The 20543-nt window shown below is 43.3% G+C and overlaps 1 protein-coding gene and 1 pseudogene across 14 annotated transcripts in view, besides 2 other annotated features; both read left to right on the forward strand.

The window, feature by feature from the left end:
• CACNA1E (calcium voltage-gated channel subunit alpha1 E) overlaps positions 1-20543 on the forward strand; it is a 490386-nt gene that overhangs the window by 433721 nt on the left and 36122 nt on the right. For 12 of the 14 annotated variants that reach the window (XM_017002244.2, XM_017002243.2, XM_017002249.2 and 9 more), the window contains 10 exons: positions 724-820; positions 3818-3978; positions 4537-4674; positions 5506-5707; positions 6528-6692; positions 7339-7449; positions 11155-11238; positions 11987-12112; positions 15127-15192; positions 19874-19965. In XM_017002244.2, the coding sequence (XP_016857733.1) occupies positions 724-820; positions 3818-3978; positions 4537-4674; positions 5506-5707; positions 6528-6692; positions 7339-7449; positions 11155-11238; positions 11987-12112; positions 15127-15192; positions 19874-19965 (1242 nt within the window). The remainder of the gene's footprint in view (positions 1-723; positions 821-3817; positions 3979-4536; positions 4675-5505; positions 5708-6527; positions 6693-7338; positions 7450-11154; positions 11239-11986; positions 12113-15126; positions 15193-19873; positions 19966-20543) is intronic. The other 2 variants (XM_017002248.2, XM_047429980.1) reach the window with 1 other exon arrangement.
• Positions 16482-17681: an enhancer, noted in NCBI's record as "MED14-independent group 3 enhancer chr1:181737037-181738236 (GRCh37/hg19 assembly coordinates)". NCBI's record gives its function as "activates an origin of replication core promoter dependent on BRD2, BRD4, P300/CBP and CDK7 cofactors, and independent of MED14, by STARR-seq in HCT116 cells {active_cell/tissue: HCT116}" and the evidence as "EXISTENCE:reporter gene assay evidence [ECO:0000049][PMID:35650434]".
• Positions 16836-16995: an enhancer, noted in NCBI's record as "active region_2195". NCBI's record gives its function as "activates an Ori minimal core promoter by ATAC-STARR-seq in GM12878 lymphoblastoid cells {active_cell/tissue: GM12878}" and the evidence as "EXISTENCE:reporter gene assay evidence [ECO:0000049][PMID:35858748]".
• RNA5SP70 (RNA, 5S ribosomal pseudogene 70) lies at positions 20147-20225 on the forward strand (annotated as a pseudogene).

Here is a 20543-nt window from a genome sequence, read left to right on the forward strand (position 1 = left end):
TGCACACCATCTGCAATGGAAGGGACTGCGGGAACAGCCAGCCACACAGAGGTACTGGGGTGTGAGCCAAGGTCCTAGCTAGAAGCCTGCATGACATGCTTTCTCTGGAACACGTGGCCCAGTGAGAGTGTCATGTCTGCCACCCTGCCTCACCTTGCTGTCTCCTGAACTAATGAACTGTGCAGCGGTGACAAACCCAGATTAAGTCTAGTGCCCTGATGAGACTTGCTCTCAACTGTGGGTTCATCAATTCAGCGAATATCATTTGAGAACCTATCATTTGACAAGCACTGGATTAGGCACAGTAGGGATCTGAAGTGGGCTACTGCTCACGTTCCCTAGTTGATGTGTCTTCCGTTTTCATTGTGCCAGTGTGGTAATCAGCAGCATTAGACTGGTAGTTAGGGAAGGAAGTGTTTATTAACATATGTGCATGGATGCCTCTGTGTGCCTGTATGTTCCTCTGTGTGTGTATATATGAGTGTGTACGTGCATGTGGATGTGTGTTCATGCGTGCACACTGGGAAGTGATTTGAGAATATTCCTGAAGCATTTTTCGCAGGATGTCCCTGGAGTCAAATCTGACTCAGTTTCTGGCTTCTTGCCTCCATCTCTCCCATACATCTCTCCCCTTTTAGCCTGTTGTTACTAATGCCATAGTTTGAATGTCATTTTTATTTCTCCCCCATTCCATATGATTCCCTGGGGGCCTCTCCCCTGCAGAACCAACAAAGGACGGGACATCAAGACCATCAAGTCTCTGCGGGTGCTCCGAGTTCTAAGGCCACTGAAAACCATCAAGCGCTTGCCCAAGCTCAAGGTAGTGTTTACAGAGTTTGTTCCCATCAAATCCCCTTCTCCCATCTTCTCTCTTTAGCCATGGCTGGCCTGCCTTTGGAGAATTTGTTCTGGGAATATTCCTTTTTCTCACACGGATATCGAAGTTCTTTTCATCTGCCTGAGCTAAAGGTCTTAGTTTCAAAGGAAAATAACCAACATCCCAAGAAATCTATAAGAAAGCTTTTTCTTTTAAGTTCAGACCCAGATGGTGTCTTCTCTCCGGTGTGATATGTCATCCAAGAGGGAATCCTGTGTGGCTTTGTCCTGGGGCCTCCTATGTCTATGTCCCCAGTGCAGACCCAGAACACCAGAATGGAAGCAACGGGATCCCTCTGTGTGTTCTGGTCTGCATATTTTTTAAGGCCGAGTATCCTGGGACATTTTCTTTTTCTTATAACTCAAGAGGAGAAGAGGCTCTTCTAGCCCTACCCTTCATAATTTTGAGGCACAGATAGGTCAGTAACTTGTCCAAGGACATGCAGTCCATTTTTGGCAGAGGCAGAGAAGAAATGGGAAGTGAGCTGACATGAATTAAGTTCTTCCTATTGCCAGGACCTTTACTAGGTATCTTACCCAGATTTCTCCTTGTCTAATATGCTCCCTCCTCAACTCCCCTGGGGTTCCACCTTCCACGAGTCTCCCTGCCTCTCAGGAAAGCTTCCTGCACTCTATCACACAATTCTGCTAGACTGTTGAACCCACCTGCCCCACCCCGCATACTTTGCTGTTAGTGGAAGCTGAGGCTCCATGGGAGGAAAGTTCTTTCTCTCTGAATTCCTGTGAATGACAGCAAGGCACTGCCAGGGAGAGGACCAGAGCTCCTGGTTTCCAGCCCCAAAGTCTTTCTGCTGCTCAGGCCACATAGCCAGTCAAGCCCCATCTTCAGGGGCTACACCAGAATACTTCCCAGCAAGCAGACTCAATTCCCTAACTTCAGCATCACATGGAATCATGCAGTGCTTCTCAAGGTGTGGGTCATAGGCCACCTGCATCAGGATCACCTGGGTACTTCTTAAAATCCAGATTGCTGACAACCGCAACACAACAGAGCCAGACTCCCTGTGGGAGGGGCTTGGAGTGCGCCTCCTAAACGGGCTTCCCAGGTGACTCTTAGAATATAGTGTAGTTTGAGAACCCCTGTCAATATTAAAAAGAACCCACTTGAGTGCGAGGCTCAGCTCTAGGACTTAGAAGCTATATGACCCAGGGCAAATTACTTATTCTTTGACTTTCTTTCACATGGGAAATGAGGACACATTGTAACTCATACATCTGTGGTGTGGAGAAAATGAACTGACGTGAGTGGTCCCTGTTAGAAAACTCAACAGTTCCTCTGGAATGCCTGGGCCTGCTCTCCCAAGCCTGCCACGGAGGACACAGCTTGGGGAGGGCTCTTGTGCACTTGGCTCTCCCTTGCTTCTCAATTCCCACTTCCTATTGAATTCTCATCACCTCTGATACTCTTTGCCCACGCCTACCCCAGACCTCCTTCAGGCCTCATAGCACTGCTTCCCTTTCAGCCATTTAGCTCTGCAGAGAGGAGGCAAAACTAACTAGGTTTGTGAAACAGAAGAAAAGTCACTTCTGAGAGGCCCCGATGTGACTGAAACCTGGCTACCTTTCAGAGCCCAGGGCCCTGGCCCACCGCGTGGGTTCCCAGAGAGAGACACCCATGCTCCCAAGGAAGTGGCCTGGCCGACTGCTGTCCTCCCTGGCTACCCCGCCTTCCCCCCTGGAGGAAGCACTTCTCACAATGTCAGCTGTTTCTTACCACCTTCCTGCCCATAAATGCTCATTGGGTTCTGCCTCACACACAGAGCGTGGCCAGGCTGCCTTGGGCCCTGACCCTTATCAGTATTGTCAGTGATCCTGCAGGGCAGGATTCAGTGGGCCTCAAGGAGAGTGCAGACAAGCTTGATGAGATTCGTTAATAGGCCAGAGAAAGCACCCTGCAACCTGGCTTAATTCTGTTAAATTAGAAAGGGCTAGTTCCTCGCTCTGCAGCTCCATAACCTGAGAGAGACGTAGGTGGCTCTGATGATTCCACAAGGGTGCCTGTCACTTACATTCCCTGCAGTGTTGAACTAATTAAACCAGCAGTGCTTCACCCAGTGCTGCAAAGAAGCAACTGCACAAATGCAGCACCACCGTGGGGCTAGATTGTCCTGTGAGCTAAACCTAAAAACCTAGAAAATAACCTGAAAATGCCCTGCAATGTATTGAATTCCCATGTAACTCCTCACAGCTTAGGGCCTAGAGTGGAGGTCTCTGGAGGTCTGTTGCCTTTTAACTGAAGTGTAAGTCCCTAGTTCTATCTACCCAGCCTCGCCATCTCTAAGAGAAGGTGTCTATTGGTCTTTCCCACATTACTTCTATTGGTCTTCATCCCAAATGCAGCCACCTTCACTAGAGAACATTTACATGAAGTGCTGAATATAATCATAAATGTATGAACTTGCCTATGAAATATTAGTGAAATGAACAAAGATGATAGTGTATTATTACCTGATCCTTTTAGAAAGGTAAGGAGAAAACAATACATAATCAGTATATAAATCGAATCTAAGAACGTCACCAAATAAAGCACAAGCTATTTAAAGACTAAAATTGGCTAAATGATCTCAAATATTCCTTCCAGCTATACACTTCTATGCTTCACACTAAGTGGAGTACCCGTACCAGGATCACACAGAGGACCGCATTCCTTGCTTGATATCATCTGATTTCTACTGCGTTGGGTCTACATTCAGTTTCAGAACATGTGTTCCCATCCCAGGTGGTAGGTCCTTGCAGTCATAACCAGCTTAGAAGCCAGCCCTTAATCTCATGAGCACCACCTCACCTCTTAGCAGGAAATTCTCTCCTGGGACAACTTCTTGGTGGGGCTGGGTAGTGGTGGTATGGCCCAGCTCGGCTCTAGGCAAGTATGCAGACCATCACAGGGTTCACACAGCAGGGCTGTTTGCTCTGTCCACAGGCCGTCTTCGACTGCGTAGTGACCTCCTTGAAGAATGTCTTCAACATACTCATTGTGTACAAGCTCTTCATGTTCATCTTTGCTGTCATCGCAGTTCAGCTCTTCAAGGGAAAGTTCTTTTATTGCACGGACAGTTCCAAGGACACAGAGAAGGAGTGCATGTAAGTGCCACCAGCGCATTCCACTTGATTTTGCTGAAGCATGTCCTGATGATCCCACTCCACCACCACAGGTCCACCCTCCCTCCTTTCTATCTTACCCATCTCTGCTCTTCTTTCAGCAAAAAGACAAAATGGAATCAATAAACTTTTTACTGAGTGCCTCTTTTGTGTCAGACACGAAAACTTGAGTGTAAAATATCTCGTACCATGACATTTTACACTCGAGTTTTCATTTCAAACCCCTATAACCAGCTATTGAAATAAGTTTTATTTGCTTATTATACAAGTGGAAGCTAAGACTCAGAAAGTTTAAGCAAGTTGCTCAAGGTTACACAGCCAGTAGTGAAAGGGTTAGGATTTACTCCTGTATCTGTTGGGCACCAAATCCCATTTTTGCTCCATGGTAAAAATACCTTCCTTTAATAGAATTCCTTTTGCCTTACACATGTATGGTGATCATTATTACCCCCACATTATTGCGGCCTGTAGAATGTGCTGACTCTTCTGTAGAATGAGCTATAGTGAGGAGGCTCTCTTTCATTTCTGCTCTGGTTTTAGAGGCAACTATGTAGATCATGAGAAAAACAAGATGGAGGTGAAGGGCCGGGAATGGAAGCGCCATGAATTCCACTACGACAACATTATCTGGGCCCTGCTGACCCTCTTCACCGTCTCCACAGGGGAAGGATGGCCTCAGTGAGTGATTGAGTTGTCATGCTTGTCTGTGGCTGTGATAGGACCCCTGGTTGCCTTGAGAAGCTGACTCAAGATGAACAAGGCTCACGCTTTGTTATTGTATCAGGGAAAGTAAGGGGTTTTGAGAAGGTGACACAGGCAGAAAAGAGGAAGAATGAAAATTCTTCAGGCAAAAATAGAGAAGTGGGTGAGCAAATCAGGAAAATATTTGAAACTCTTAATGTTTTAGCCAATTATTGAGGAGTCAAGTGGAGCCATCTGACTTCTATGGAACAAATGAGTTTTGAACAGCCCTGTACCCATAAGGAGAATTCCTGAGAGCTGTTATAGACAGATTTATCCTCCAGGGGGGCCCAGCACCTGAAAGCCTGAGGATTGAGGGTTAAGAATGAGTTGGCAAAACCCAAAGGCACCTCCTGTGATCATGAGGAAGACCACAGAATGCAGGTCTTATGCTGCCCGTAGTTGAAAGCTAATTTCTCAGAGACTTAGCAATGACTAAGACACCACTCTCTAGTGGCAACAGGTTCTACTTGGCAGCAAAATGTTAAATGGGAATCTGGGAGTCTCTTTGTATTGAACATGACAACCTAAACTATGAAATGGTGTCCCTCTGTTGCTTAGGAGTTGAGTGCGTGATGGAACAGAGGCTAGAAAGAGAAGTGGATTGTTGATAGCAGGATATGACAACTTGGGTTTGGACTCAAAAAAAATTAATGGAGGATCTGCAAAGTCAAAGAAGTCAGATAAAAAATTATAATAGGTGGCACATTTCCTAACGAAGCCAAGACTGTCATCCACCATCTGTGCCCTCTTGTTCTGTCCCCATAGAGTTCTGCAGCACTCTGTAGATGTGACAGAGGAAGACCGAGGCCCAAGCCGCAGCAACCGCATGGAGATGTCTATCTTTTATGTAGTCTACTTTGTGGTCTTCCCCTTCTTCTTTGTCAATATCTTTGTGGCTCTCATCATCATCACCTTCCAGGAGCAAGGGGATAAGATGATGGAGGAGTGCAGCCTGGAGAAGAATGAGGTAATGACAATTGGTCTAAAGTGGGGAGCAGCAGAGGCTCCAGAAAGGATTCTTGGGCCAGCAATGTAAGAAAGGAGGACTGCATTTTCTTAACTTGATTAAGAATTATAGAGAGAAGATGGGAAAAGTAACTATTCAGCCATTAAATAAGCATTTTCCAAGCACTGTTTAAGGCCCACGTATGAGGCACGGAGATCTGGAAGATATGTAAGATGTTTAACATGCAGTCTTTACCTTTGTGTGCACATAGTCTAGAAAACAATGATAACTTCAGATATCTGCTTATCTGACTGTGACCTTCCATGCCATGTACTTGCTGTAAGGGCAGGGAATGTGTCTTATCGCAGCTTTTCCAGCAACAAGCATAGTTCTGGCACATTGTAAGGTTTCAAAAGCTGTTTTTGAAATTTCTTTATTTTATTTTATTTTTTCGATGGAACTGAACTAGAAACTGTTAGGGACTGTAAGAGAAATGCGACATAAAGTGCTGTAGAAATACATAGGTAGGTAGATCTTTACTTCTGACTAAGGACATCAAGGAAGGATTCCTGCCTAAACAGCTCAGCCACATGCTGTGTAAAGGACTTTTTTAATAACCATGAAGTCCCTACTCCATGTGGCAACACCTCCAGTTTTGTGTACTCCTTTAAGGTGACGCCTTGTCTGTAGTTTTGTCCAAGTGACCCCAGTTGCCATCTTTACTTGCCCAGCCCTGCCCTTTTTCCCATTCACCGTCCTCCTCTTCTGAGCATGGAACAGAGCCTGCCATGGTAGATCTAGGGGATTTGAATTTGTGCTAATAACCATGACTTTCTTGCAGAGGGCGTGCATCGACTTCGCCATCAGCGCCAAACCTCTCACCCGCTACATGCCGCAGAACAGACACACCTTCCAGTACCGCGTGTGGCACTTTGTGGTGTCTCCGTCCTTTGAGTACACCATTATGGCCATGATCGCCTTGAATACTGTTGTGCTGATGATGAAGGTGAGAGGAGAGAGGCACAAGAGCCGACTGAGCCCCAGCGATGGTTCCCTCCCAGGGCAAGTGGGAAGACACCCCAACATCCCAGCCCATCACTGCTTTACCTACTTTTCCATCATTGAATCCTTTTGTGATCTTATTTTGTTCAATAACCCAACCTCTGGGGCTTTGGGGGTCCACTGAGCAAAATGCAGTGCAGACTATAGTAGCCATCCAGGGGCTCCCAAGACCTGAGATGGCAATGGGAGGCAGCTTCAGACAAGGGTGGAAAAATCAGGAGACAGAGATCCATCATCACGGGGTCTAAAGGAGCCTTGGAGTATTCAGAGAGGCTCATCCTATTTAATATTAAATGACTAACTCCAGTAACTAACTCTAGAAAATGTTTCTTCCCTGCCCACCCTCATCTCTAGGAAGACTGGCTGTTTTGCTATTAAGTCTGGTGGGGCGTGGGTCTGTGTTTTCCTTTGTTTTGTTGGGTAGAATATGTGGTTCTCCTCTCCAGCACTCGAAGTCCATCTCTCCTCCTGTACCACACACCAGAGTGTCCCACAGGGCAGGAATGAGAGATGGCCAACCTCAGTGACATGTATTCCCCCTCTTACCTTAAGGCTGTGATTCTTTCTCTCTTCTTTTTTCTTCCTGGCAGTATTATTCTGCTCCCTGTACCTATGAGCTGGCCCTGAAGTACCTGAATATCGCCTTCACCATGGTGTTTTCCCTGGAATGTGTCCTGAAGGTCATCGCTTTTGGCTTTTTGGTATGTTGCTGAATCCTTCCCAGCACTGGGCTTGTCTCTTTCTGTTGGGTGCCTTCCCAGTCTTTGTTGAAGGGGAGGTGGTTACTGCTATTCCAGAAATCACCCACCTAGATGTGGGCTCGTTTTGACTGCTCAGTAAACTGCCGTAGAGACAAGATGATGTGTGAGGAAGCTGGGAGAAAGGGCAAAGGAAGCCACAGCCATCAGCCTGGTCCTGTGAAATTCTGTCAGCAGTCCAGAGGCGGCCATCATTGAGTTTCACTAGAACTGCAATTTATGTGTAGATGAAGGAGGAAGCCAAAGATTGGACTAATAAACTTCGAGTGCTTATTTACTGGTAAAAGGTATAACAGTTTTATAACACAAATGGGAAAATAACTATCTCTCTTAGCCTCAAACATAGCAAATAATAGATTTTTACCTATTAGTCCTTCTGCCATTAGTAACATGAAGAGTAATTTCTGCCAAAGAAAATAGGTGTTTATTACTTATGCCTATAAAGGCTAATGACCTTTAAGGGGTGTGTCTGTGTGTGTGTGTGTGTGTGTGTGTGTGTGTATGGAGTGCAAGGGGAAGGATTCTGGAATTAAGTTTGAGGAGGTTTGGGGATGATGAATTTTTCTGCCATGAGCCCTCTTTTTTCTTCTCCTCAACTACTATTAATAATTATAATTGTTGGGCAAATTCTTGCATCTGTCCTCAAGAGTGTTAAGAAAATCCAGCCCTTGGCTTCAGTGCCCTATAAACAAGATAATCCCCTTGGCCACCCTCCCCCCAACCTGCTTCATTGTGTGCAGCAAGTTCAGTGGGATGCAAGCCCATGTGACAGCTGTTTCACACTTACTTAGGACGTGAGCTACCATTTCAAATTACATGTGTGTATGGCTTTCCCTGCAAGGAGGAGAACTTTGCTCATTATCTGAATAAGTGTTTGTCTGGTAGCAGCTTTAACAGAGACTCTGGGCTGGGTTCGATAATTGTGAGTGTTGATTACGGGGGCTGCTTTTGGTCTCCCAGCGGTTCTTTGAAAAACCATTAATTTGATCATTTTGGGTGGAGAGTTTAAGGGAACCAATTGCAGTTGGCTGCATTGTGTTTGCCTGGCTCCCTTTTGAGTGTTTTGAGACTTGGGGAAATAAAAAAGTAAAAGAAACTACTACCAACAAAGATGCCTTTATAATACAGTCTAGCCCTGAGCAGGGGGAGCTGAGAGAGAGGGAGACGCAAGCACCACAACAGGGAAATTTTTTCTATGCATGTTGATTACTTGTATGTGGTATTGACATTGTCTGTGACTTAAGTCCCATTATGTGTCTAATTATGGTGAGTGCTGAATATATACTCACAGCCTTAACTAGATTCGGCCCTTGAAGCCTGCCTCCTTCCCACCCTACCCCCATGTTTTCATTCAAGGTCTAGAGGGATTTTCACTCTGTAAAAGGTACCACTAATTCTGATAAGTCTTTACATTGTTAAGGCACTCTAAGCTTTCAGAATATTGTAATATATACTATTTCGTTAGATCTTCTCAGTGACTCTGAAATAGGCATGGCAGATGTCACTATCATAATTGCCATTATTGTTGTTGTTATTTTAAATGAGGAAATTGAAGTTCAGAAAAATTGTATAGCTTCTTAAAGATTACACAATGAAAGGCAATAGAATTGCAAGGCTAAATGGGAATAAAAAGGGAAGGGAAAAAGAAAAAGAGGGAAAGATGTAACAACAATTGGTTGGCTATTAAGTACCAAATGCTTTACATATTGCTTTTCTCTCCATAACAATATATTAAATAAGCATTCTTATTTTCTCCTTTTTATGGATGAGCTGGAGCTCAGAAAGGTTGAATACTTTGGCCAAGATTAGTAAGAGGTAGGGCCAGGATTCAGACCCTGTTCTATCTGACTTCAAAGCTCACAATAATCTAGTCTACACTGCACTGTACTATTCTATACCATATACCAGTGTTCTAGTCTATACCACAGCATGCTATTCTGTATTGTAAAGCATTGTTAACTGGAATCCAGAGCTTCTGGTCCTCTGAGACCTAGATCCATGCACCAAGGTTTAGAAAGAATTAAAACCAAGAATTAGGAAGTTCACCCCAGGTTGGACAATAGGAGAGCCCTGAGAATTGAGGAATTCGGAGACTTAATTTAGCTCCACCACTGATAGACTAAATATTCTAATGGAAAGTGAATTTATGAAACTGTGTGATTCAATCTGTCCATATGCCCCATAGGTACATGTGGCTTTGTAATAAGGCCTCTTTCAGCCTCATTTTCTCATACATAAAATGAGGATAATAGTAGCTACCTTATGGCCTTAGCTACTTTGTTGTATGTATCCAATTAAGTGATGTTCATAACCTTCTGAGTGGGTGTTCATTAAATGTAACTTCTCTCTCTCCACATTCCTTTTCTTTCTTTATTGGGTATTTTCCCCCAACTCCTCTTGCCAACTCTTCCATTCAGGACTTTATGAACATGGGATATTTTTCAATCCCTGCCTCTAGGATCCATGAGAAGAATAAATGAGTTGAAAGAATGCCAAAGGCCTGGCCTAGTGTCTGGCTCATGTAGGAATTCAATGATGCTAGTTGTGAGGCTGGGTTGGAGTATACTTCTGCAGTGCTCTGAGAGTCTCTTGTGTTTTATTCCAAGGATAGAATAAAATAATCCATTGTCCTGTGATGTTGCTGAGGATATCAATTACAGGTGTTTGAAATTTTCTCCTCCTGGTACTTTCTCTGTCTCCTCTGAATTTCTTTATTCTGTTGATTTAAATCTCTGTTTTCTGTGTTACAGACTGCCCTTTAAATGTCCCAGGGGCAGGCAAGTGAATTGTTTTTGAGATTCAAGTGTCCTTTTTGTTTGTTTTTAAAGGAACATAGTCTAAGGTCTGTGTTCATCTGAGCCTAGGAGATGGATGCATAGTCCACCCTCTCCTGTTAAATGGAGTGTTATCTGGTTGGTGGATTTTCCAGGCTCTTTATATCTCCTTCAGCCCACTCATTGTATTACTGCTTCCTTGTACTTAGTTACATCTCCTCAAAAGATGTAACAGCAGAGAAAGAGTGGAAAGATGAAGTCTATTTATCCTATTACCAATCAGTAGTTGGTTTGAAAAGGCTCAATGGAGTTAGGAGGAGATTTTTGGCACATCTGTAACCTTCAGTCACTTATGACTTGTGTGACTTTTGTTGATAGTTGAAAGTCAGACTGTATTTTATAGGGCACTTGACGCAATAGAGATAATTTAAAAGTTATAGCTGTATGACCATGGCAATGGTTTCACAGGTACAAACGTTTCCCCAAACCCATCAAGATATAGCCATTAAATATGGATAGCTTTTTATTTGTCAATCATGCCTCCATAGAGGTTTTTAAATACATAAATATTTGTTAAAAATAAAAATTGAAAAAAACTTTTTTTACATATGAGCTTTTGGTGACAGTTTTCAAAGATAAAGTCTTCAAATAGTGATAGAACTGCTTTCCAAATGAGAAATTTCCAGATTAGTAAAGGAGAAATGGCATCTCTGGTTAGAAATGGGAAACTGAAGCCAAAGTAAGAGTGAACTTATGCATTAATTGACAAGTTTTATTTCCAAGGGACAAACAAAGTTATATAATGAAAGATGTCTTTTCTCCTTTTTTTTTTCTTTCCTTTTCTGATGTTCCTATGACTGAATTCATTTGGCAGAACTATTTCCGAGACACCTGGAATATCTTTGACTTCATCACCGTGATTGGCAGTATCACAGAAATTATCCTGACAGACAGCAAGGTGAATGGCTTATAAGATCCATGTCTGTAAGCTTGGCCCTGGAGTAGCATTTTTAAAACTCCTCTGTATATTCAGTCCATTTTTAACCCACCAAAGCAAATGCGTACCCCTCTAAGTGTTGGGAATTTACTCCCTTGCTGCTTGGCATCAGCCAGGGAATGCAAACTTGGGAGTGGCACTGGATCTCCAGGAAGGCTTTGTTGATTTGCCTGACTCAGGCAGCAGACCTCTAATGGGGTAGGTGGGATAGACGGTGTCAGAAGAGAGCTAGTATGCATAGCGTTGCACTAGAGTCTCAAAGGAGGCACAGTATCTTTGCCCTCAAAGTTCACAGACCTGTATTTTTTCCATAAACTTGTTCCTTCTAAAGATGACTTGGAGAGCTCAGGGTAACTCTCTTTGAATATTAGAGGGCCAGCGTGTGCTAGAGGGGTTCCTAGATCTGCTCTTTTTGGCATTTAAGTGCAGACTTCAGGCCACTCAGTAGAAGACTAGGGAGGCTGGTTTTGTGTGCAGGGTACCCTTCTCCAGTACATCCTTTACCCTTCTACCTGGGGATAGAGAGCAGGCATGGGAAGGCTTAGGAGATGGGCCTCACTGGCCAGCCCATCAGCTGGAATTGGGGTTAACAAAGACAGAGACTGTGTCCCATTTATCGGAATGAGGGATAAATACACAAATACTAGTGCTTAGATTTTTCTAAATCACCATAATGTTCCTAATTATATGTTTCCTTTTGGTCCACCAGCTGGTGAACACCAGTGGCTTCAATATGAGCTTTCTGAAGCTCTTCCGAGCTGCCCGCCTCATAAAGCTCCTGCGTCAGGGCTATACCATACGCATTTTGCTGTGGACCTTTGTGCAGTCCTTTAAGGTAAGAGGTACCAGCAAATCCTCTCTGAGGGTTGTCATATCAGACAGTACAGCCAGGCAACACTGGCATCATTACCCAAGTCCCTTCACCTCTGGGAAGCTGAAGCTAGTAGAACGGGTGTTTGTTAGAAGCATTCAGTAAATACTGCAATTCTTAGTTACAGCACAGCTTGGCTTGACTGGGATCAGCTTATGTCTACTGGATAGAATCTTATTTTAGAAAAACACCTTGACTTTGTGACTCAGGCATCCTCTCTGTCTGCTGAGGCAGGGGACACATTTTATAAGATGTGCTTCATCCATAGAGATTCCAGACAGTCCTGAGTAACCCCATCCATGTAAAGAGCCAGCCATCTGTAGTCAGATGTCCTCTGCATTTTCAGGGACTTTGGGTGTTTGTTTTTATTTCACATGAAAGTTTTTCAAAGGACTCATTGAGTTGTGTTTCATAGAGAGATGATTCATACTTAGCCCCACCTTTGTCTTCATCAGTGTTTATTTCCTGAGCCACTGAACACAGGGTATACTAATGGCCACCTCTGTGTCCTACAAATAAATAGGGACATCTGGGCAGGTTAATATGATGTGTTTCCTCTGCACAGTCTCGTGGAGCTGTACAGAGGTGTACATATGATAAATATAAGTAAAAAATTGACAGCTGAGACCCAGACTTTGAGTAAAAGTTTCTTAAACATACTGAAATATCTTTGGACTCTAGCAAATATCATAAATTAGTTGTTTTTAAGCTTTGGGGGGCCTAAATGTTGTTCAAATGCCTGTTCTTACCAAAATGAGTTTTTCAGTGAATGTGTTTAAAAATAAATTTGATGGAATTAAGTGATTCAAAGATGAGAAATTATGAATTCACCAAATTGACTTTCTTATTTTAATTATTTATAGTTTAATTAAAAATTAAGCTAAAGAAGGCAAGCCAGTGAATTCATGGTTTCTCATCACTTGGAAAAGGATTTCTCCCCACATCCATCATTACTGATTTACTTCTTCATCGAGGACCTGGGATTTTGAGATGTGAGATCAATTTTAAGGATGTTCTGGCTCCTAGGAGCGACCTTGACACTTTTTATCATATCCAGAGAAAGTGTTTGGCGTAATGACTCCCACGAGGCCTCACTTCAATGAAAACTATTTTTCTAAAGTTAGATATGGAGGATAAATCTAAAACCTTAGTGAGAATTTTCTGAGTCTCAGGTGATTTTGGATTTAGAATTGGAAACACAACATGCTTTTAAAACCTTTTTTTTTTAGAGGATTGCCCAACAAACTTCAGTGGTTAGTCTTTTAAGAAATATGTGTCATCCTGTCATATTATCACAATCACCAAGTCTCTGAGAAACCATACACTATTGAGGGCAAAGAAAATATTGTCAAAAATTGATGGCCAAATGGTTGGCTTATTCCAGCAAATACTACAGAGAACAGGGAAGACAGGTGAATTTGCCTCCAGGTGACACTGTGTTATAGATAGATGTTCCCTTTTCAGAACAGTTCTGTGACACAGTATAGAAGTTTGATTTTTAAAAGTCAGATTAACAAAGACTACCTCTGCAAATAGAAAGCAGAGAGCCACACGATATAAAGAGCATCGCCATTGCCTATACCTCCCCCACCCTCCCTAAACAGCATCCAGTTTTCTACCTCTGACCCCTACTCTAGAGTTCTTCCCTCTTTTCCCTTATTTTGTGTTAGAATGTATAAACATGACAAGAAAGGAAAACAGAATGAATCTTTGCTTTTCTCCCTACATTGGGAGTAGGGAGAGATAAACTAGGGACTAGAGTGGAGACAGTAGAATAAGGGCAGAAGGTAAAGATGAAAGGTAGCAGCACTGCAGGCACAAGAAACCCTGTCCTTCCTTCTGGCTTTCTGTAGAGGAGGTCCACATTGCCCATCAAAGTGTAGTCAACCCCCATCACAGAGCCTAGGAATCAACACTTCATTGGAGAGGGAATTCTCCCACCCACTTTCAGTTGCATTTTAATTTTAGCCTCTCTTCAAGTTGTAAATAGTCTCATAGGGCTCTTCATTTTGTTAGTGCTGTTGAAAAGCTCTGCCCTGCTCATGCAGTCTGAAAGCCTCAATTGATCTCCTGGGATTCATGATGTGCACAATCAAGACAGGGTGGAGACTCCTCGTAGCACTGTCTGCCAGGGAGCTTAGTGGATGGTAAAGAAGAGGGACTTCTCTGGCAGCGCTGAGATCAACGCAAAATTACAGTGTCCCACTCTGGCCCCAAATCCAAACTGTCCTATGTCTGCATCCTCCTCCAGTACCAAGGCCAGTTCCCTGCCTCATATCTCCTTGCCTTGACCCTCACCTCTAAAACTGAAATGTTATCCCAAAGTGGCAATAAGCATGCGCAGTATGGAATTTTGTGCCACATGGCTTCATGGCAGAGTTTTTTGGTGGCTAACTTACCAGGCTTTTGCATGAAACATAATAAAACGCCAGGAGGCTTAAATACTGGGAAATGACATTTCATCAGAAAATGAATGACCTTTCTAGGAACTTACAAACAAGTGAGACCCCAATCATTTCACTTTGATTCCAGATTCTTCATTATGGGTGCCACTTTGGGTATGGGAGTGGGAGGGGGTAATACAGGGATTTGGAAGCCAAAGCTAGGTGCTTCATATTTAATTTGCATCACAATTGCTAGGTTATTAATTTTCTGCATGGCAAGTGGGATGAACCCCAAGCCCAGGAAGTTTTCCCAGCTTTCCTTCTAGATATGGGCTACATTTATGGGTGAGTGAATCTCCCTGATAGAGGTAAATTTTAAGCCTCCCTTTGGCCAACTGTTTACCTATCTGTCAGAGGACAAGGATGCCTGAGAAAGTACTACACCTCAAAACAGAACAACCCCAGGGAATAGGGAGTCCCAGTCTGTGTTTGCATTAGCCTCCAGGCAAGATCCTGTACTGCCGGTGACTGCAGGTTGTTGAGCTTGGGTGCTGCTTTTCTTTGATTAACGTCTTATCTCTGCTTTCCTTCCAGGCCCTCCCTTATGTCTGCCTTTTAATTGCCATGCTTTTCTTCATTTATGCCATCATTGGGATGCAGGTGAGCTGGTAAATCAAGGGCCCGGTGGGGGACAGCTGTTACCCAGATAATCTCTGGCTTAGCAACCTAAGCATGCAAGACCTGAAGATGCTTTGAACCCCTTCTTGCCTAAGGGTGCTCCCCTGAGGTCTTGTCACAGTGTGACCTTGGGAATTTCACATGTGCAGTGGCTCCCCATTTTAGCTTGCCTAAGTATTCAGGGTAGTCTGGTACAGGGGCTTCATCTCAGGTTGTCAGATCATGGTGCTAATTCATAAGCAGCTGGGCTTCTGTGGTGACAGCCATAGAACTAAAGCAAAGATGACACCATTGTTCTTAGCCAGAAAGATCCCCCAGGAGACTAAGGATCTATTTCTCAGGATCTCTGGTATTTTGACTTGGCCTAAAAGAAGGTCAGATGTTAGTTCTTCCTGTATATGGTGACACCAAATCACCACATATAGTCATGGCTGTCTTATAGAGTCTTATACTTACACAGTCTTGACTGGCTGAGATTTATGCCCTAAGATACATCACTGTGAACAACTCATGGAGTTCCTGGCAGCCCGTTCATTCCTAGGGAGACTCAAGGGCCACATTCCAGCTAATTAGGCCATGCAACTTCCTGGACAGTTCCCTTGTTTTCCCATCCCAGGTATTTATGCAGGTAGCCAGAGGCCTACTAAGCAGAAGAAGCCAAAGGATCTTTCAAAGATGATGGTGGTTCTTGGTGGGTGAATTCCTACTGTAAATAACCAGCAGCACATCCCATGAACCTATCTGGTTGGAGACACAGGCTTTCTGCTTGTCTCCAGAGGGCTAACTTTCTGACTTGGAGATATTGTGACTAGATCCCAGCATAGAACTTCGGCTATGTGACAGCCTCCTGCAGTCAGGCAGTCTGGCTGCCTTGGGCCTGCTGGCTGCCTTCCCAACTGTGTTGCCACCTGGAGCTGCTGCTGGAGTGTCCCAGCCTTGCTGTGTCTGCAGCCTTTTCCAGACCCTTTCTGAAATGTCTCTTCCTTTCACTCTTCTCTCTTGCCTGTACTTCTTGGTTTCATTCTTTAACTCTATTACTGGAGAATTTTGTTCTCTAAAAATACAATAGAATGTCAAGTGTCAAAATGTGTGAGACTTGGTTGAGAAGTAGTGGGTTCTCCTTCACTGAGGATATTTCAGTAGGAATTTAATGATCATGTTGGCAGTGTTGGAAATAGAATTCCTGCTGAAGTTTCATATTGGCTTTGTAACGTTCATGAAGTCCTGTCTAACTCCAATATATTTGATTCTGGAATTAAAATATTCTTGAAGAGCCAAATGAAAGCTTGATTTAAATTATTTTTTCAAAATTGATTTTTTATTGATGTATAATTGTAGATATTTTTGGGGTACATGTGATAATTTGATGCTCGTATACAATGTGTAATGATCAAATCAGGGTAATTGGTTTATCCATCACCTCAAACATTTATATCTTATTTATGTTGGAAACATTATAATTCTTCTCATCTGGTTATCATGAAGTTCCTTTTGCCTATGCTCAAAATAGTTCTTACCCCTTTTCATCTTCAAATAAAATAAACTAGAATAACACCATCTCCAGTACTGATCTGGTATGAATATTGTTGATTCTGATAATGGTGATAATGCTGTTTATCATTATTTAAATTCCTTGGTGTACAAGACGCTGTACTAAATGTATGCATAGAGAGAGAGTGAGGGGGGAGAAAGGGAGGGAGTGAAAGGAAGAGAGAGTGAGCATGTCCAGGCAAGACATATGACTAATGTTTCTGAGTAATGTGAAAACGTTTATAGGTGAGTTTCATTGTCTCCATTGATGCTTAGCATAGTTAAGTAACTTATAACATGCTCAAGTTCTCAGACAGTAAGTGAAAGAGGTGAGTTGTAAGATCAGCTCTGTCTGCTCCCTAGCCCATGTTCATAACTCTATACTGTGTCTCATCCCACCAGACAAGCAGACACAAGTATTTATTTTTACCCTCTAGTTGGAGGTAGAAGTTGTTCAATTATGAAATTGTAGTCTTCACAATAACTGTATGGTCTAACATCTTATTCCCCTCAGATTTCTTTCCAAAGGATAATAGCACCATGTCCATTCCACAGAGACATGAATGACATTTCTGCTATGACTTGCTTTGAGCTGGCCATCCCCATCCTGGTCTATGACAGAGACACAGCACCAAGCACAAAGCAGACACCTGAGCTTGTTGCTAGAGAGACTGTTTCTAATATAGTCACAACAAAACTGAGGGATCTGTACAAATAATAAACGCAAGGGCAGAGACAAGCTTTTGGAAAAATATTAATAGCAACAAGGTATGTCTATGAGAAAAACCATTATTATTCCAAACTTTCAAAGGCGCCTTGGAAAAAGGGACCTTTGCAGAAGAATCGGAAGTTCGAAAGGAGGAGTAACTTGCTGGGGATGAGAAAGAGCCCTGTGGCTACGTGGTGTCAGGAAGTGGGATTGTCAGCCTCAGCTCCTTCACTGAACAACTGTGTGAACTTGGTGAAGTCACTGTATCTCTCTTCACCTTAACTCCCTCACCAGTACAGTGGAGGTGTTGGTTAGAGACCTTCACAAGTCTCTTCTAGTTCTAAAGTTCTGTAATCCCAACTGAAATGGATTTAAATCTATACTCTCATGAGATTTTTCTATGAGGCCTCAGCATCCCTTCTTTCTCTTCCATACCCTGTTGATGGAGGTTTAAGTTAGTGACAAGGACTAAGTGAAAAGTTGAAAAAAAAAAAAAAGTACAAAAAATTTAAGAACATCTTCACAATAAATATGTGTTTTTGACTTAAATTATGTTTGTTTTGTTCTGCTTTTTGGTTTTTTTTTTTTGTAAAGATGAGGTCTCACTGTGTTGCCCAGGCTTGTCTTGAACTCCTGGGCTCAAGCAGTCCTCTCACCTCAGCCCCACAAAGTGCTGGGATTACAGGTGTGAGCCACCATGCCCGGCTTGACTTGACTTAAATTATCTTAGATTCAAAATAAATAGTTTTGGTTTCTTGGACTATTACACACATACTTTGTGCAAAATCGCAGTGTGCTCTGCAGTTAGTTTGTGATTGGATGAGGTGTTTGAGAAAATCATAATGAATTCAACTCATGATACCTCCAGAAGTGTCATAGGGAAAAAAGACACTGTAAGTTGTATGTCTGTGGTGAATCAGGGATAAATCATGAATTCCAAACCAAGAGGGAAGAAGAGGGCAGGAAATGTGAACAGGGCAAGGATAAATGTCAGTGCCCTCCTGGGGTATCCAGAGTTAATTAGATTTGACTGCTTGGGTGGGATTTTTTAAATGCTACTATTTGTCTCTTTGGGGCCCTCTAGCTGCTTCTTCTCTTTCCATTCTTCTCTGCTGCTGCCTCACTTGCCACCTCCATTCTCCCTGAGAGACAAGTAGTATTTGGGTTTTGAAAAACAGCATTGAGAACAAATTCCCAGAGCAGGTGTCAGTGGGAGTTACTTGAGCAAAATAGCTGGGGGCAGAGATTGTTCCTCAATTGCACATTCTAAAAACTGTGAGGGGGAAAATGTGTTCCATTTAGCATACATTGGATAAACTGAAGCATGTTCAATGCAGGCTGAAAATTGTCTCAAATGACTGGAAAAGTAACCCAGTAAGTCCGCGATTGTCTCAACATTGACTTGTGAGAATAGGTCCTGATACCCAAAATGTGGTTGGGGAAGGAGGGTGCATGTGAAAGCCTCCTTTTCATCTGAAGAGTGGAGGGGTTGACCTTGGCTCCAGGCAGTGCTGTGTCTGGGAGTTCATCATTACTCAGTCTCTGTGGATAAAGATCTCTGAGTGTTCCCTCTTTTGAATGTTCACAGTGATTACATTCTAAGCTCAGTAGCCAGCAGCAGATCAGCAAATCTCATTCTGTCACCCAGAATCTGCCCAAAGCCATTTTCTGTTTTCCTTTTCAAAGTGCCCAGTTGGCCCGACTTTCTCCATCCTATTGGCCTGGACTTCATTTTAGCTCCTGCATAAATGTTTCCTTTTGGATGGGATTTGGGTCTGTTGGATGATACATGTGGACATATATAAATATATGCATGTGGATATATGTGTGTTCAATCTCATAGATTCTACATTAATGACATACAGACCTTCTAAGATGTGACTCAATGGATAGAAACATATCTAAGGAAGATAGAGATGCCACTCTCTAACCTGATCTGCTTGTAAATTGCAGGGTGGCATCTGCCCAAGCCATAAATGATGTCTTCTTGCAAATCTGAATGCTCCCATCATGACTACCTGAGACAGGAAGAGAGGGGTAGCTCCTTCTGTGCACTCCTGCTGTGAGATAATGTCTTTGACAGACGCTTGAGTACCATGGTGACAGGTACCATGGAACTAAAAGACCAGATTAGGTGTAGGAGGAACTATGTACAGGCAGAATGACTTCAAAAGAGCTTGCGTTCTACGTTATGCTTGGACCTTGCTGCATGGGTCCCCTTTGCTGCACTAGAGCAGTGGAGGATAATTATTCTTGCATATCAGCCCAAAAGCACAGTATCCAGCAGCTCTCTGGGTCTGAGTTGTCTGCTTCAGGGGTAGGTCATCGGGAAGAGCCATGCAAGTGGCTTTGCCAACCCTCATGTGCTGGACACATCACACAGCTTGGTAATGCTCACTGTTTTCTGTTGTTTCTCTCCTCAAGGTATTTGGAAACATAAAATTAGACGAGGAGAGTCACATCAACCGGCACAACAACTTCCGGAGTTTCTTTGGGTCCCTAATGCTACTCTTCAGGTACCTGGATGCGTAACTGTCATAGCTGGGGTTCTCCTGATGGAGGGAGAGAGAGTTTGTCTGCCTCTTCCTCCCATTTCCCTTTGTATCTTTATTCCACTTCCTTTGCTCCTGTCAGTAGAAAGGGGAACAGGCAATGTCTTTGCCAAACTGCCCCTATAACATTAGACAGTTTTGTCTTGTCTACAGCCATACCACCATGAATGTGCCTGATCTTGTCTGATCTTGGAAGCTAAGCAGGGTTGGGTCTGCTAAATACTTGGGTGGGAGAAAATTTCATCAATGTCTTTGGCTCAGCAGTTAATTTGCAAATTTTAACTTCAACATGGCCTGCAAGGGTTTGGGAGGGGGGAATGTCAGGACAGTGTTTGCAGACCAAATTCCACTTAAGGGCTGAAACCTTAGATAGCCAGGTTTATGCTGGGTCTTAGAGAATCCCATGACTAGTAGCAGAGACCCCATAAAAGATGGAGACGCAGTGGATGGGGTAGCAGAACCCAAAACAGACCTCAGTGGGACTCTTTATCTCTGCATGGAAAGCACTAGAAGGGGTCAACTGGGTAAAAAGAGAGCCTGTT

The sequence above is a fragment of the Homo sapiens genome, chromosome 1, assembly GCF_000001405.40.
Source record: "Homo sapiens chromosome 1, GRCh38.p14 Primary Assembly".
Classification (NCBI taxonomy): Eukaryota; Metazoa; Chordata; class Mammalia; order Primates; family Hominidae; genus Homo; species Homo sapiens.